The sequence below is a fragment of the Homo sapiens genome, chromosome 6 (assembly GCF_000001405.40).
Source record: "Homo sapiens chromosome 6, GRCh38.p14 Primary Assembly".
Taxonomy (NCBI): domain Eukaryota; kingdom Metazoa; phylum Chordata; class Mammalia; order Primates; family Hominidae; genus Homo; species Homo sapiens.
Genome location: NC_000006.12, coordinates 124,996,045 through 125,009,602, shown reverse-complemented (window position 1 = coordinate 125,009,602; position 13,558 = coordinate 124,996,045). Strand labels below are relative to the sequence as shown.

General features: G+C 36.6%; 1 protein-coding gene across 18 annotated transcripts in view; it reads right to left on the bottom strand.

Annotated features, from left to right (window-relative positions):
- Positions 1-13,558, bottom strand: part of RNF217 (ring finger protein 217) — a 130,198-nt gene that overhangs the window by 83,032 nt on the left and 33,608 nt on the right. For 3 of the 18 annotated variants that reach the window (NR_104440.3, XM_047418245.1, XM_047418248.1), the window contains one exon: positions 12,948-13,028. The exons of 9 other annotated variants lie outside the window; for them this stretch is intronic. Coding sequence is in view for 7 of the 9 variants with exons in the window: in XM_047418245.1 (XP_047274201.1) it covers positions 12,948-13,028 (81 nt within the window). In the remaining 2 variants the exon portion in view is untranslated. Of the gene's footprint in view, positions 1-320; positions 846-2,319; positions 3,528-12,947; positions 13,029-13,558 lie in introns of those variants that run through there. 6 more of the 18 variants (NM_152553.5, XM_047418246.1, XM_047418244.1 and 3 more) reach the window with 5 other exon arrangements.

Sequence of the window (13,558 nt, the reverse complement as noted above, 5' to 3'; positions counted from 1 at the left end):
AAAAAAGAGCCTATAATTCTAATGCAATAGAATAGTCAGCTGCCAGGCACCAACATCCTATCATCATAATAAATGAGTACATTGATATAGCTCTTCATGGTAAATAGTCTCTGTTTTTCTTTTTTTTTTCTGCCTTCTTACATTCTTTCTAGAAAGAGATGGCACCATCTGAAAGAAAATCACTTATACTCAAGGAAAGTGAAAAAATCTACTCTTCCAGGCTCTATGTCTGTGAGAGGGCTTCACAGGAGGTGTTTTGAAGAGATTACAAGGGCTCCTGCAGCACAAATAAATGTGGCTTCTTCATCTATGTACTTTACCTTCATCCCTTTCTTGAACTGGTTTATGGGTGTGGATGAGAAGAGAACTAATTATACAACAGCTTTGATTCTCCTACTCTTTATCTTTACTCAAGTGCTGGCAATGGACCTATGAATATGAGAAGAGAAAAAATGGCAAAAGGTCAAAGAACAAATCCCTTTATACATACATTTCTAACACGTCTGTTCAGGAAAGCACATTCTATCTACTTCCTTGTTCTCTATGAACCAGTGATATAAAATTATATGTAATGAGGTATAAAATTACATGTAATAATATATCATTTTCAACCATTAAACCAGGGGAAACACATTTTATGATAACAATGCTACTGTCAGTATGGAGAAACTAATACTCACACGTTGCTGGTGGCATAGGAAAGTAATTTGGTGATTTCAGTTCAATATGGGGAATTGAGCTGATAAGGAAAATCTCTCCACCAGCTACACACACATAAAAGTATTAAACACAACATTTTTACTACCTAATTAAGCTTGAAACAAAGAGAAGGAAACCTACAGGGTTAAAAAAAAAAAAAAAAAAGGTAGCCCCTGGGAAAGGACCAGATAGATACAAGCTGGGGCTGAGGGCAATCAAAGGATGAGAAATGATACAGTCACAAGGAAATCTTGACCTGACCTGAATGCACAAAGCCACGGAAGGCTGCTACATTTGCAGGACTAATCAGCACTTTGTCAAGGGCACAAGACTTTTCATCAGCTTGACTGGGTGGAGAAAGAATCACTCCAAGAAGTTGGAAACCAAGGCCTGGACTGTGCTGATGACTGGGATATTCAAACTCGCAGTATGCATGCGATTCATGGACCCTGAGCAGAAAAGAGGTAGGATGGCAGGTCCAGGATTGGTTAATGCTTAACTTCTTTCTAAGTACAGAAGTCCCACTTCATCTATGGTTTTGCTTTCCATGATTTCACTTACTTGTGGTCAACTATGGTCCCAAAATAGGAGAGTACTACTGTAAGATATTTTGAGAGAGACCACATTCACATAACTTTTTTTTTTTTTGAGACAGAGTCTTATTCTGTCACCCAGGCTGGAGTGCAGTGGTTCCATCTCAGCTCAGTGCAAGCTCCGCCCCCTGGGTTCACGCCATTCTCCTGCCTCAGCCTCCCAAGTAGCTGGGACTATAGGTGCCTGCCACCAGGCCCAGCTAATTTTTTGTATTTTTAGTAGAGACGGGGTTTCACCATGTCAGCCGGGATGGTCTTGATCTACTGACCTCGTGATCCACCCGCCTCGGCCTCCCAAAGTGCTGGGATTACAGGCATGAGCCACCAGGCCCGGCCACATAAATTTTATTATAGCATATTTTTACAACTTTTAAATTTTATTAGTAGTTATTGATCTCTTATTCTGCCTGATTTATAAATTACACTTTATAAGAGGTATATATGTATTAAAAAATAGTATATATAGTGTTCAGTACTATCCATGATTTTAGGTATCCACTGGGAGTCTTGGAATGTATGCCCCCTACATAAAAGGTACTACTGTCTGGTTCTCTAACCTGAAGTATAAGGGATGTCTGTGGAAAATAATTAGTTTCCCCCCAGTAAGGATGACTATAAGACAGTGCAAACCACAGTTAAGAACAAGAAAACATGTTAGAAGCATTAGTCACCACAAACAAAAGATGTCTGCACCCCAAGCACTGAAGAAAACAGAACAAATGGGAAGATGCTTTAAAATAACTATGTTTAAAATGCTCAAAGTCAGCCAGGAGCAGTGGCTCATGCCTGTAATCCCAGCACTTTGGGAGGCTGAGGCAGGTGGATCACCTGAGGTCGGGAGTTTGAGACCAGCCTGACCAACATGGAGAAAACCTGTCTCCACTCAAAATACAAAAAATTAGCCGGGCTTGGTGGCGCATGCCTATAATCCCAGCTACTTGGGAGGCTGAGGCAGGAGAGTCGCTTGAACCCAGGAGGCAGAGGTTGCGGTGAGCCGAGATCGCACCACTGCACACCAGCCTGGGCAACAAGAGGGAAACTCCATCTCAAAAAAAAAAAAATGCTCAAAGTGAAAAAAAGAAGAATAGAAACCATTAGGCAAGAAGAAGGCTGCATGAAAAAATGATGTAAACAATACCAATTCTAGATAAGAAGCACATTCATTGAAATAATTCAATTGACAAGTTGATTTATAGACTAGATACAGCTGAAGACAAAATTTGTGAACTGGATAACAAATCTCAGAATTAATTGTCTAGAACTTTATTTACATACTTAATAATTACTGTAACAGAACAAATAAAAAACAGACAAAGCTATATACACAAAGATGTCTATCATGCATTCTTTTTTTCTTTTTTGAGATGGAGTTTTGCTCTTGTCACCCAGGCTAGAGCGCAATGGCGCGATCTCGGCTCATTGCAACCTCTGCCTCCTGGGTTCAAGTGATTCTCCTGCCTCAGCCTCCCGAGTAGTTGGGATTACAGGCACGCACCACCACACCCGGCTAATTTTTGTATTTTTAGTAGAGATGGGGTTTCACCATGTTGGCCAGGCTGGTCTTGAACTCCTGACCTCAGGTGATCCGCCCACCTTGGCCTCCCAAAGTGCTGGGATTACAGGCATGAGCCACCACACCCAGCCCATGCATTCAACTTTAATAGTAAAAATCAAAACTCAGAAATAATTTTTAATGTCCACTGATAGGAGACTATTAGGTTGTTATATATTTGCTCAGAATAGTATGCTTTCATTGAAATTAATTATGAAGTTTATGAAGCAAATTTGAAAATGTATGTTAAATAAATCTAAGTTTAAAAAAGCATGCTGTAAATTTCTGTGGAATAATTGTAACTATATAACATAATAGAAAAAATGAGTACAAGTAAAATAATATTATAATAGTAACTATGCTAGGAAAGTGAGATTAAACAATTTTAACTTTTCTATAGCCCTGTGGTTAGGAGTTGAGTATTATTAATCACCTGCATTGAACAACTCTTTTAATGGAAATTTCTCAGCTCCTGCATCACAGTTATAATGTGAATTTTGGAAACTCGAGTCAAAAGTTCATAACTTATTTTTCTTCATTTATTGCAACATAAACATCTCCAACATAAAGGGATACTCTACTTTTATGCTCCACTCTTCATTCACACTTTAACTGACAGAGTCACCTCCAAAAAGGCAGGAGTTCCTGGGAAGTATCCTCAAGCCTCTTATCATTTGCAGGAGCTATGGAAACAGTACAGACTTTGAAAGCACTTTCCTGGGCCTGGCAGCGTGCCTCAAAAACTATTTAATTAATTAACAGCCCATTACCAAGTTCTTATAACAAACACCTTTTCTGACCTATTCCTCAAGGCTGGCACAGTATAAATGATTTTTATCTGAATTTTAAATACTATTCTTAGAGTGTGACATAAATCAAGCCTGAATTTCCAGTATAAATAATAATAATTTCCCATAATTCCTAACTATGCTCTAATACCTTATGTTCTATACAAAACCATATTTAATTAAACAAGTCTATATTTGAAAGCTTTCTATTGCATACAGTTTTATCTAATAACAGAATAAATAACCACATGAAATCATATTTCGAATGTAATATGGTACATGAATTTCTAGCATTATATCTTAAAGATTCTTAAAAATTAAGTGCTCCTTCAAGATTTCAAAGGTATGGATTTAAGAAAAAAGTTCTTTCAAAAGATTTTCAAAGGAAACTTTAAAGAGCTGTTATAGGAAGCTTCAGTGATGACCAGTTGATGACTGAAAACCCAATCCAAACATACCTGTTTTTATCATGACTTTCCTGCAGAGATCAAGTTTATTCTCTTGCCTGCAAAATACAATGTCTTTCTGCTTTCTCATCATGATTAAAGAGTTTCACCTTGTACCCTTATGTTATGCAAGCCATATTTGTCTTTAAGTTGCAGAGTCAACATTTTGCACAGAATTTTTTATCCTTTGATGTCTCAATATGCTGATATTTCAGAGTGAAGAAGCTTTAGGCACTTTTCTGACTGACCTGAGACGCCAAGTTTGAGGCTGAGTTTACATCAGTCCTTTCCATAGTAGTTATAAACCTAACATACAGGCCTGTTATGGTTTGAACATCCCCTCTGAAGCTCATGTTGAAATTTAATTGCCATTGCAACATTATGAGGTGGGACTTTAAGAGGTGTTTAGGTCACGAGGGTTATGCCCTCATGAACAGATTAATGCTGTTATCCTGGGAGTTCTGCCCCCTTTCCCTTTCTGCCTGGCACCCTGGCTTGCCCTTCTATCATGGAATAACACAGCACAAAAGTCTTCACCAGATGCCAGCACCATACACTTGGACTTCCCATCCTCCAGAACCATAAGCCAAATCAATCTCTTTTCTTTATAAATTACCCAGTCTGTGGTATTCTGTTATAGCAGCAAAAAATGGACTAAGACAAGGCCTTTAGAAAGTGCCTTTATTTCCTTTTGTCAACTACTGAAAAAACCTGTATAGTTTGTGTAATTATTAATATAAAGTAGTGAGACTTTCTAAGAAACACACCAGAATTACACACGAGCTGTGGTTCTTGTCCTTTGTGCATATATTTAGGCATTTATAATTTTAACTTTCCCTTTCAACAACAAGTGAAACAGAGGATCATTTAAAAAGACTTAGGCCTTCACAGCACTTCACTAGAAGCCTTGTTCTTCTCCCAGTGATACTATCCCAACTTAGAACACTTCTGTACCTACCTTTGGAGGCAATTTCCTAGGCAGGGAAGAAAGTCATTCTCGTTATCTTTAATTTGCCAGACAGTTATTCTCCCCAGGGCTAGGATCTTCACTGTTCTGCTTATCTTCCCTCAACTTCCACCCTCATCCCTCTTACCATGTGATTCATCAGCCACAGGAAAACTATCTTGGCTAGACAGTGCTGGTACAATCCAAGGGTAAGGGCATAAGTAATGGCACTTAACTAGGATGGAGGAGAGAGAAAGTTGCACCTGATGCCAGCTGTTCTTGTGCCAGCCATTCCTGTTGACTGTGATTACTTTTGTGGTCACAATCAAACTGTAACTCAGTAACAGGGTAAGGATTAGATGTGTGCCCTACAACAAAAGGGGAAATATAACTGGCAAGCCCTGTTTTCTTTAATATAATTTAACATTTGTCTAATATTTCCTTTTAGATTTTATTTCAAAGCTGCCTCTAAGAAAGGCAACCTTATTTGATGGATGAATTTTAAAGAAAAAAACTGTAACCCCTCATTTAAAGAAAGATTAGAATTAAAAAGTCTAATCCAAAAAGTGTTTTAGGTGCAGATTTTTGCAGCACTTGACATCATTTGGCTACTGGACAACAAGCTTAAACACAGATGTTGATCAATTAGTTCTGAGTTCCCATAATAGGCCTTCCCTAACGTATCTGAACCTCAATTTCTCCTTCAAAACCACGTACCTAACAAGATTATGAGGACTACAAGACATAGCATATAAGAAGCTATGAGCTTCTTATGGTATGAGCTCTGATAATAGATAAAGACAATAAAAAAATCACATTGGGTTTTTCCTTTGCTATAACTACCTGTATTTTTAAAATTGACAAATAATTATATATACATATTTATAAGGTATAATGTGATATTTTAATATAGGTATATATTGTGGAATGATTAAATCAAGCTAATTAACAAATCCATCACCTTATATGTTTATGAATATTTAAAATCTACTCTTTCAGCAATTTTAAAATATAAATTAACTACAGTCACCATACTGTGCAGTGAATCTCTAAAGTTTATTCCTACAATCATCTTTGGATGACGATGATGATAATGATGTTGCTATCTAATAATTTCTGAGTATTTATTATGTAGTAGTTACTGTATCACCATTGTAACATGAAGACACTGAGGCTTAAGGAAGTTAACTAACTTTTCCAAGGTCACATACCAAAAACCAGCAGTGCTGGGATTTTAATCCCTATCAGTCTGACTCCAGAGCCAGTGTTATTTTCCACTATGATATGCTTACTTCATTATCTTATCAGTGATTGTACAACCATACAGCCTCTCGATTCTGCTAATCACTAAATCCTGTGATCCTATGTTGAAAATCAAATGTTAAATCTCTTCTACTCACCCATATATCTGATTTTTAGCCTCCCTTACAACTCTGAAGGTGAATAGGTATGTGTGTGTGTGTGTGTTTGTGTGCGTGTGTGTTTAAAATGACAAGGGCCTCACTACTTACTAAGGTAGGCCATTTAATCTTTGGCTACCACTATTATTACTAAATCAGTCCTTTTAATATGCAGCCAATTTTTTATACTTTCATTATTAGGATAATAACAAGATTTTCTGACTCCATAGCATCCTGGTTGCTCTGATTTACATGATATAATTGCCTTATGCTGTAGACCCAGAACTATTACAATATACCAAGTAGCCTCCTCTGCCTAATAAAGTCTGCAAGAGTCTCTCCTTCATCTAGCTATAATAGAACCAAATAGATTCCACAATACACAGTAAGTACTTAGTTACAAAAATAATGTAATGGGGAAAAGTTTCCATATAAGGGATATGAAGTTTGATAAGCCAGCACGAAAATCACACGGACACTATCAGAAAGCAGAAAGGAGGAGGGAGACCTAGCAAGACTTCAAACAGGAACATACGGGGCCAGCGTGACACTGACAATTAAAAGCAAGAAGAGGAAAACGGGGTGGCTGTGGTCGTAGATAATAAGGTTAAAAAAATTCTTTGGGGATGAAAGTCAAGGAAGGTATTCAGGTTGGAAGTAAATAAGGAAATGAAACCAAAACAAAGCATAGAGAAGCAAGCAATTCTCTAAGTCTCAAGGGAAGATGGGGATAGGGGCGTGCAGGGGGCACGACAGCATTTGGATACAGAAATGGAAGCAGAAGTAGGGCAGTAATTAAAAGTAACTTGGGCCAGTTAAAGACCATGAAGCTTGTGACGAGGAGGATTAGGAGGCTTGAGGTCATGGTTTCCTTAATCCACGAATGGGCACATTGTTCCGGTGCCTGGAAAGTGGCAGCTAAATTCCTCAGCAGCCACACAAGATTCCTCACACTCAGTAGCAACAGACCATACAGAAAGGCACTTCATTTAGAAGCTAACAACAAGACAAAGATGTCCTGGCTAGGCTCATCAAAGTAAGCCATTCTGGAGATTATTAGTCTCTCCAGTATTTTACTCTCTAACAATACCAAAATAATTCAATGCATACCATCCATTAGGAGTTTGGGGCTCATAAAAAGATCTGTAACTAAAGATCTTATTTCATATGGAGAATACAACAGCACCTAAAATACACGTGGAGAAATTATTTTAGTACACCCTGCCTAGATGGAAACAGTGATTCTAGAGGTCTGCCTGAGAATACTCCCTCATCTGTCAGGGAATAATTGATGGGAGTAACATTTGTTCTCCAGCTGCTATGCATTTTTTCACTTATCTTTGCTTTGAATCATTCCACTCAGCATTAGAAAATAATCATTTTGTTTCCCTCTCTCAGCACAAATAATACAAAATCAATGCAGTGATGCATGAAGGATTTCATTACAATGTGTTCCTATCACACAAGGGAGAAATCCTATACTTTGTTCAAAATTGCAAACTTAAAGGGAAAGACCAAGACAAGTGTGTGAACTCTGGATTAGTAAGCAATAATCCCTAATTTTAACAACTGTGATTCAAATTTAACTTTATATTTTATCACTAAAACGCCATACTGCTAGGAATTATCAGGAATAAGTTTACTTAATTATTTCAATTGTCACATTTTAATTACTAGTTGACAAAACATATCATTACGTCTTTATCTGCCATGTTATAAGACTGGTGGTAACATTAATACGGGATTCTCTGTGCCCCAGACTTCACTAGTTCCTTCATTCTACCGTTCTCGAATTAAGTCCAACAAATTTAGAGAAGACAACTCCATTTACTACTGACCTCAAAAGCATAGCCTCTAAGAATGGGGGCTGGGCAAGGGAGAACAAACACACAAAAACTGGTAACAAGAGAAAACACATTAAAAATACAAGAAAACTTACATAGAATTTCACATAAATACTAAATTCAGCATTCCCTAATATAACTAACTCCAATCTTCAAAAAACTTGACTTCTTTTATTTCCCTTGTAAGAAAAGCCTCATAAATCAGCAGTAGGTGGTATTAATCAATAGAAAAATCAAAGAACAATCTAAAAATTAATATTTTGCAAAATGCCAAATCAATAAGTAAAACATAATCTTTGAGCTGGTGATTGGATATTTCAGACTCTATATTCCAAGGTCATTTTAGAATGTTTTCACTATATGTAATTGAAAGACATTTCTCATACATCATACTTCCATACTTTTGAAATATCCATGGCATTACATATAAAAGAAAGAATAAAAAATCCCTGTGGTATGCATGCTATGCTTGAATTCTAGGGAGTAAAGCTTATTTTATTTTTAAAGAAATCTTTTTACTACAGTTATCCACTTAGGACTACCCCTTCCAGTAATACGGCACACTGCTAGACTATGAACTTAGTTGAAATAGGAATATGGAAAACTTCCTTAAAATGTAGGCATGTAGATACTCATGTATTTCAGCCAATATATTCAGATAAAATATATTCTAGGGTCTCTATTTCTCTAATATGCATACAAATCTGAAATGTACCATATTTTCCTAGAATACCTGATTAATGTGAGGATCAAAATTACCCTAGTAAATTATAAAATAATAAATATTTAAGGATGAATCAGTAGTTGTTTTCAAAAAATAATAATTTTTTCTTTATAGAATATTATATCATATAAAAATGGCTGAACAATTTACAACTATTGTCTGATATCTATAATGCCCCCTTACATTTACACATTGTGTATTATATATAACATATCATATAACATTATGTGTGTTTCTCAAAGTGTAACCTAATATACAGCAACTATCACTATAGTAAAAGAGTCTTGTTTTAATCAGCTTTAAGACAAATTTTTAAGTAATAATTCATGTTATAATACCATTCAACAGAATACATTTTTAGTTTCTAGAATCGCAAACAAACTAAAACACCAATTTAAATTCAAAATAATGGTACGATGTGGCAAGGTTTTATACTATTAATACTATTTGCCAAGCACTAAAAAAAAATAAACAGAGATGTAAATTCAGAAAGTAAATATTAAATAATGGGACTGCATTCCATAAGCCAAGGTTTCTCTAGCTTAAACAGAGATATAGCTTGAGAGAACTGAATCATTACAAGACCAGTGGCAGTAATCAGTACAATGCTCAGTTACACTAATTTAGTTTCAGCAAACAGCAGCAAAAACAACAATATTGTTCATTAAACTGATCTTGTCAATTTGTAAATAAGCTATTGGTGGTATAATTGTTCTGGGACCTTTTTCATATATTTATTTAATAGTTTAATAGCTGTTTATCTGTATAAGAGAAATAAGTAAGTATAAAGTATGTGAAAAGTACAACTGGATTTTTTTTTAACGTTACAATGCTAAGTCAACACCAGGGGTCCATGATAATTTTTTCCTTTAAAGGTTGTCTGAACATTTCTCAATGTTGAAAAATTCTGCTCCAAGCTTTTCAAAGCAGTTTTCATCATTTTATTTGATCCACAGAACAGCCCTAAGGCTCACCCTCACTTTCAAGATTAAGCAAATGTGGCACAGATAGATCACCTGGCTTGACTGTAGTTATACTTTAGGCTCTGGCAGAACTACAGTCTATGAGCCTAAAGTACAGTGCATTTTCTACAAGATCACACTAAACATAACAATGAGTTTGAACCACAATTTTAAAGCTTGAAAAAAAAAAGGTAAAGATCAATTGTATTTGCTCTTTTTCTAAAAGAAGTGGGAAAGATGAGAGAAGAGATACACTTACAGGAATTCACAAGACAGAAAGCATGCAGTGAAACTGGAGAAGGGATCTGCTGGGGAATCAGCTAAGGAAGAAATGAATCCCTGCCAGCTTGAAGTGCCAACTTCCTTGTGCACCTGCGGTTAGAAACTCATGACACGGGCAGATTAAAAATGGAATGACATTCCTACAAGAGGAAATTTAAAATGAAATATACCAAAGATCAGCCAGTCTCAGAACTGGACTAGGGGCCACTAGGCCTTGTTTGTCTTCAGTATAATACACAGTATGTTTTTCCTAGTATGCTTTTTAGAGGCACGAAGTCACCTTAAGAAAGAAGTTGTGTTTTATGTCAAATACTGCTATAAATCAACTGCAAGCTCTATACTATATGTAAAGGTATAATTACATGTATCTATTTTTGAAAACAAAAAGTGGCAACAAAAGGCACTTTTGAAGGAGTCAATTCCACATGTACTTTTTCAGGGCCTATTACATGTAAGGCATTGTTCTGGACCAAAGTGAGAATAGATTCCTTGCCCACTACATGTTTACAACCATACAGGTGCTTATAATCTTATGTTGACAAAATATTACTACACAATTTTTGTTTTTTGAGACAGAGTCTCGCTCTGTTGCCCAGGTTGGAGTGCAGTGGTGCGATGGCTCACTGCAGCCTCCCCCTCCCAGGTTCAAACGATTCTCCTGCCTGGGCCTCCTGAGTAGCTGGGACTACAGGTGCACGCCACCATGCTTCACTAGGTTTTTTGTATTTTTAGTTAGAGATGGGGTTTCATCATGTTGGCCAGGATGGTCTTGATCTCCTGACCTCATGATCCGCCCACCTTGGCCTCCCAAAGTGTTGCGACTACAGGTTTGAGCCACGGCACCTGGCCTTCTACACAGTTTTTAAATGTTATGACCAATATTAAAAAAATGTATATAGAAAAATGGTAGAGAAATTCTGAATTTTGGGATCATGGACAAAGTGAAGATGGAGATAAGCAGACAGATTTACATGAGGCTTTAGGAAAAGTTGAATTCGTCTTCACTTCCCCTTGTCCATATCCCACAGCAGTTTGTACCTCTGTTAGAGAATCTGAAATGGGGGAAAGGAGCTGAGGGAAGAAAAAAGGCAAATGTAAATGACATACAAGGTGAATCCATGGGATAGGAGAATAGAGGGGCAAAATGAGGGAAGTAAAGTGTGAAAAAATAAGGTAACGGAGATGATGAAGATTTGAGGCTACGTGACTGGGAGAATGAAAATGCCCAGAGCTGAGAATAGAAATGACTGGAACATGAAAGGATGAAGTGGTGAATGGTCTGGAAGAAATATTAAAAGTTTGCTCTGAACATATATAATCTGAGGCATCTGAGGAGCCATGTCAATTAGGAGATGCCCCTTGCTCACAATCAGAAAAGGAATGCCGGAGTCAGGCAGACATTCAGGATTCAACATGGAAATTTTGGAGTCACCGTCACATAAGAACAGGTAAGGACAGTTCAAGCGGTGGGATCAGTAAGGTCAAAGGGATACTACAGGATGAAAAAATTAAAAGCAAGGCAGATATTGGAGAAATACATTAAGTTAGTAGAGTCTAGAAAAGCCTTTGAGGGAGAGACAACTAAAGGTGAGAAAGTAAAGAAAACAAGCAAGGGAAAGTGTTCAGGGCTGTAGAGAGAGCGAGCAGATTAAAGATGCAGGATTTACCCTGAAACTAGTGTCCAGGTATCTCATCGCCACAGGCTGTTTCCAAGGACCTATGAATGTGCTCAATGCGTCAGATGTTTTTGCAGGAGTGAGAGATTTAACTGTAATTGGTTAAGACCCCTGTCACTTTCCACTCTGACTTGCCCTTCATCAATGTGTCTGCTGTCATTACTACAGCTATGAGTGAACATTTTTCGGATTTGCCTAAGAAGTATTTGAGATGGGAATATATTAACTCGAGTTGTGTGAACCTGTCTATGTGATTTACAGTCACTTTCGCATATGGTTAAGTAATTGGCAGAGCCCTAGGGTAGGAATGATTTCCAGGAATATCTTCCATCCTTTTGTGCTGACTTACCTGGAGTCATGACTTAAGCACCAGGATTGTAATACAACATGTTCTATAAAGCTCAGGGTGGGGAACATGCGAGTAGTGAAGCAGCCATACATGCAAATACATGGAGCCGTGAACTCTTCTATAGAAAAATCCTTTCAATCATCACACAGAACATTTTAAACAGAGGATTCTCTTTTCTATGCCTGGTCAAAACAGAAATTCTCTTCTCATCAGTTTAACAAATGAATACACACCGGACCAAAACAGAAAATAAATTCTTTTTTGACAGAAATGATGAAAAAATAGACTCTACCAGCACGTCCGTGTTTGTAGAACCTAAACTTGCAGGAGTGCTACAAACAAGTCTGTGTGAAGAGGAACATATTTTATGCATCTCCACTGTCAATACTAAACCATATTAAGATGATTTAAAGAAAATACGGATCATTTTTATACTCCAACTTTCAAAATTACATTACAAAATTTTCATTATACAAAGGTAATCAGGCTTTATATAGTAAAAAATAGATAAGTAATATAAAGATATACAAGGCAGTTAAGAGGAATGTTATATTTTAAAACTGCAATATTTGTAGTATTTGGTAGCTTTTAAAATTTGTAATTGTTGTGACTTATAGTCTCATTGTAATCATTTACTTTTGCATCTAACTTTATATTCATAACTTAGTCTTAAAGAGTATGCTCACACTGTATATGCTTCAGGTTACACAAAACTTGACTCTTCCCCTCATTATGAAGTTTGCCTTCAAGAGCCAATGTCAACAGAGCTGTGGGGACAGAATTCAGATTGCAATGGATTAAAGATAATTAAAACTCTTCATAAAAGACATCATAAAAATAGAAAAAGAAAACCATGAATTGGTAGAAGATATCCACAACACACATTTAACTAACAAAAGATTAGTATTGAGGGTATAAAAAATAGAACTCCTATCAATCAGTAAGAGACAACCCAAGAAACAGAAAAATGGGCTAAAGATAAGAAAAAGCACATCAGAGAAAACATAAATTATCTTCAAAAATTAAAAAAATCTTCAAAATTAAAAATCTTCAAAAATAAAAAAAGCTCAAGCTAATTATAAATGAGGGTAATGAACACACAAAATCATGAGATGTTTATTCATACCCTGCAGACTGGCAAAACACTTAAATATACGATGAAGTACTGTTGAGGTTATGGAGCAATGGGAACTTTCATCAGCTGTGGAGCGAGTATCAACTGGCACAACCACTTTGGAAAACAATTTGGCAATACCAAGCCAGGTTAAAGATTCATGGCCTTGTGAAGCAACAAAAC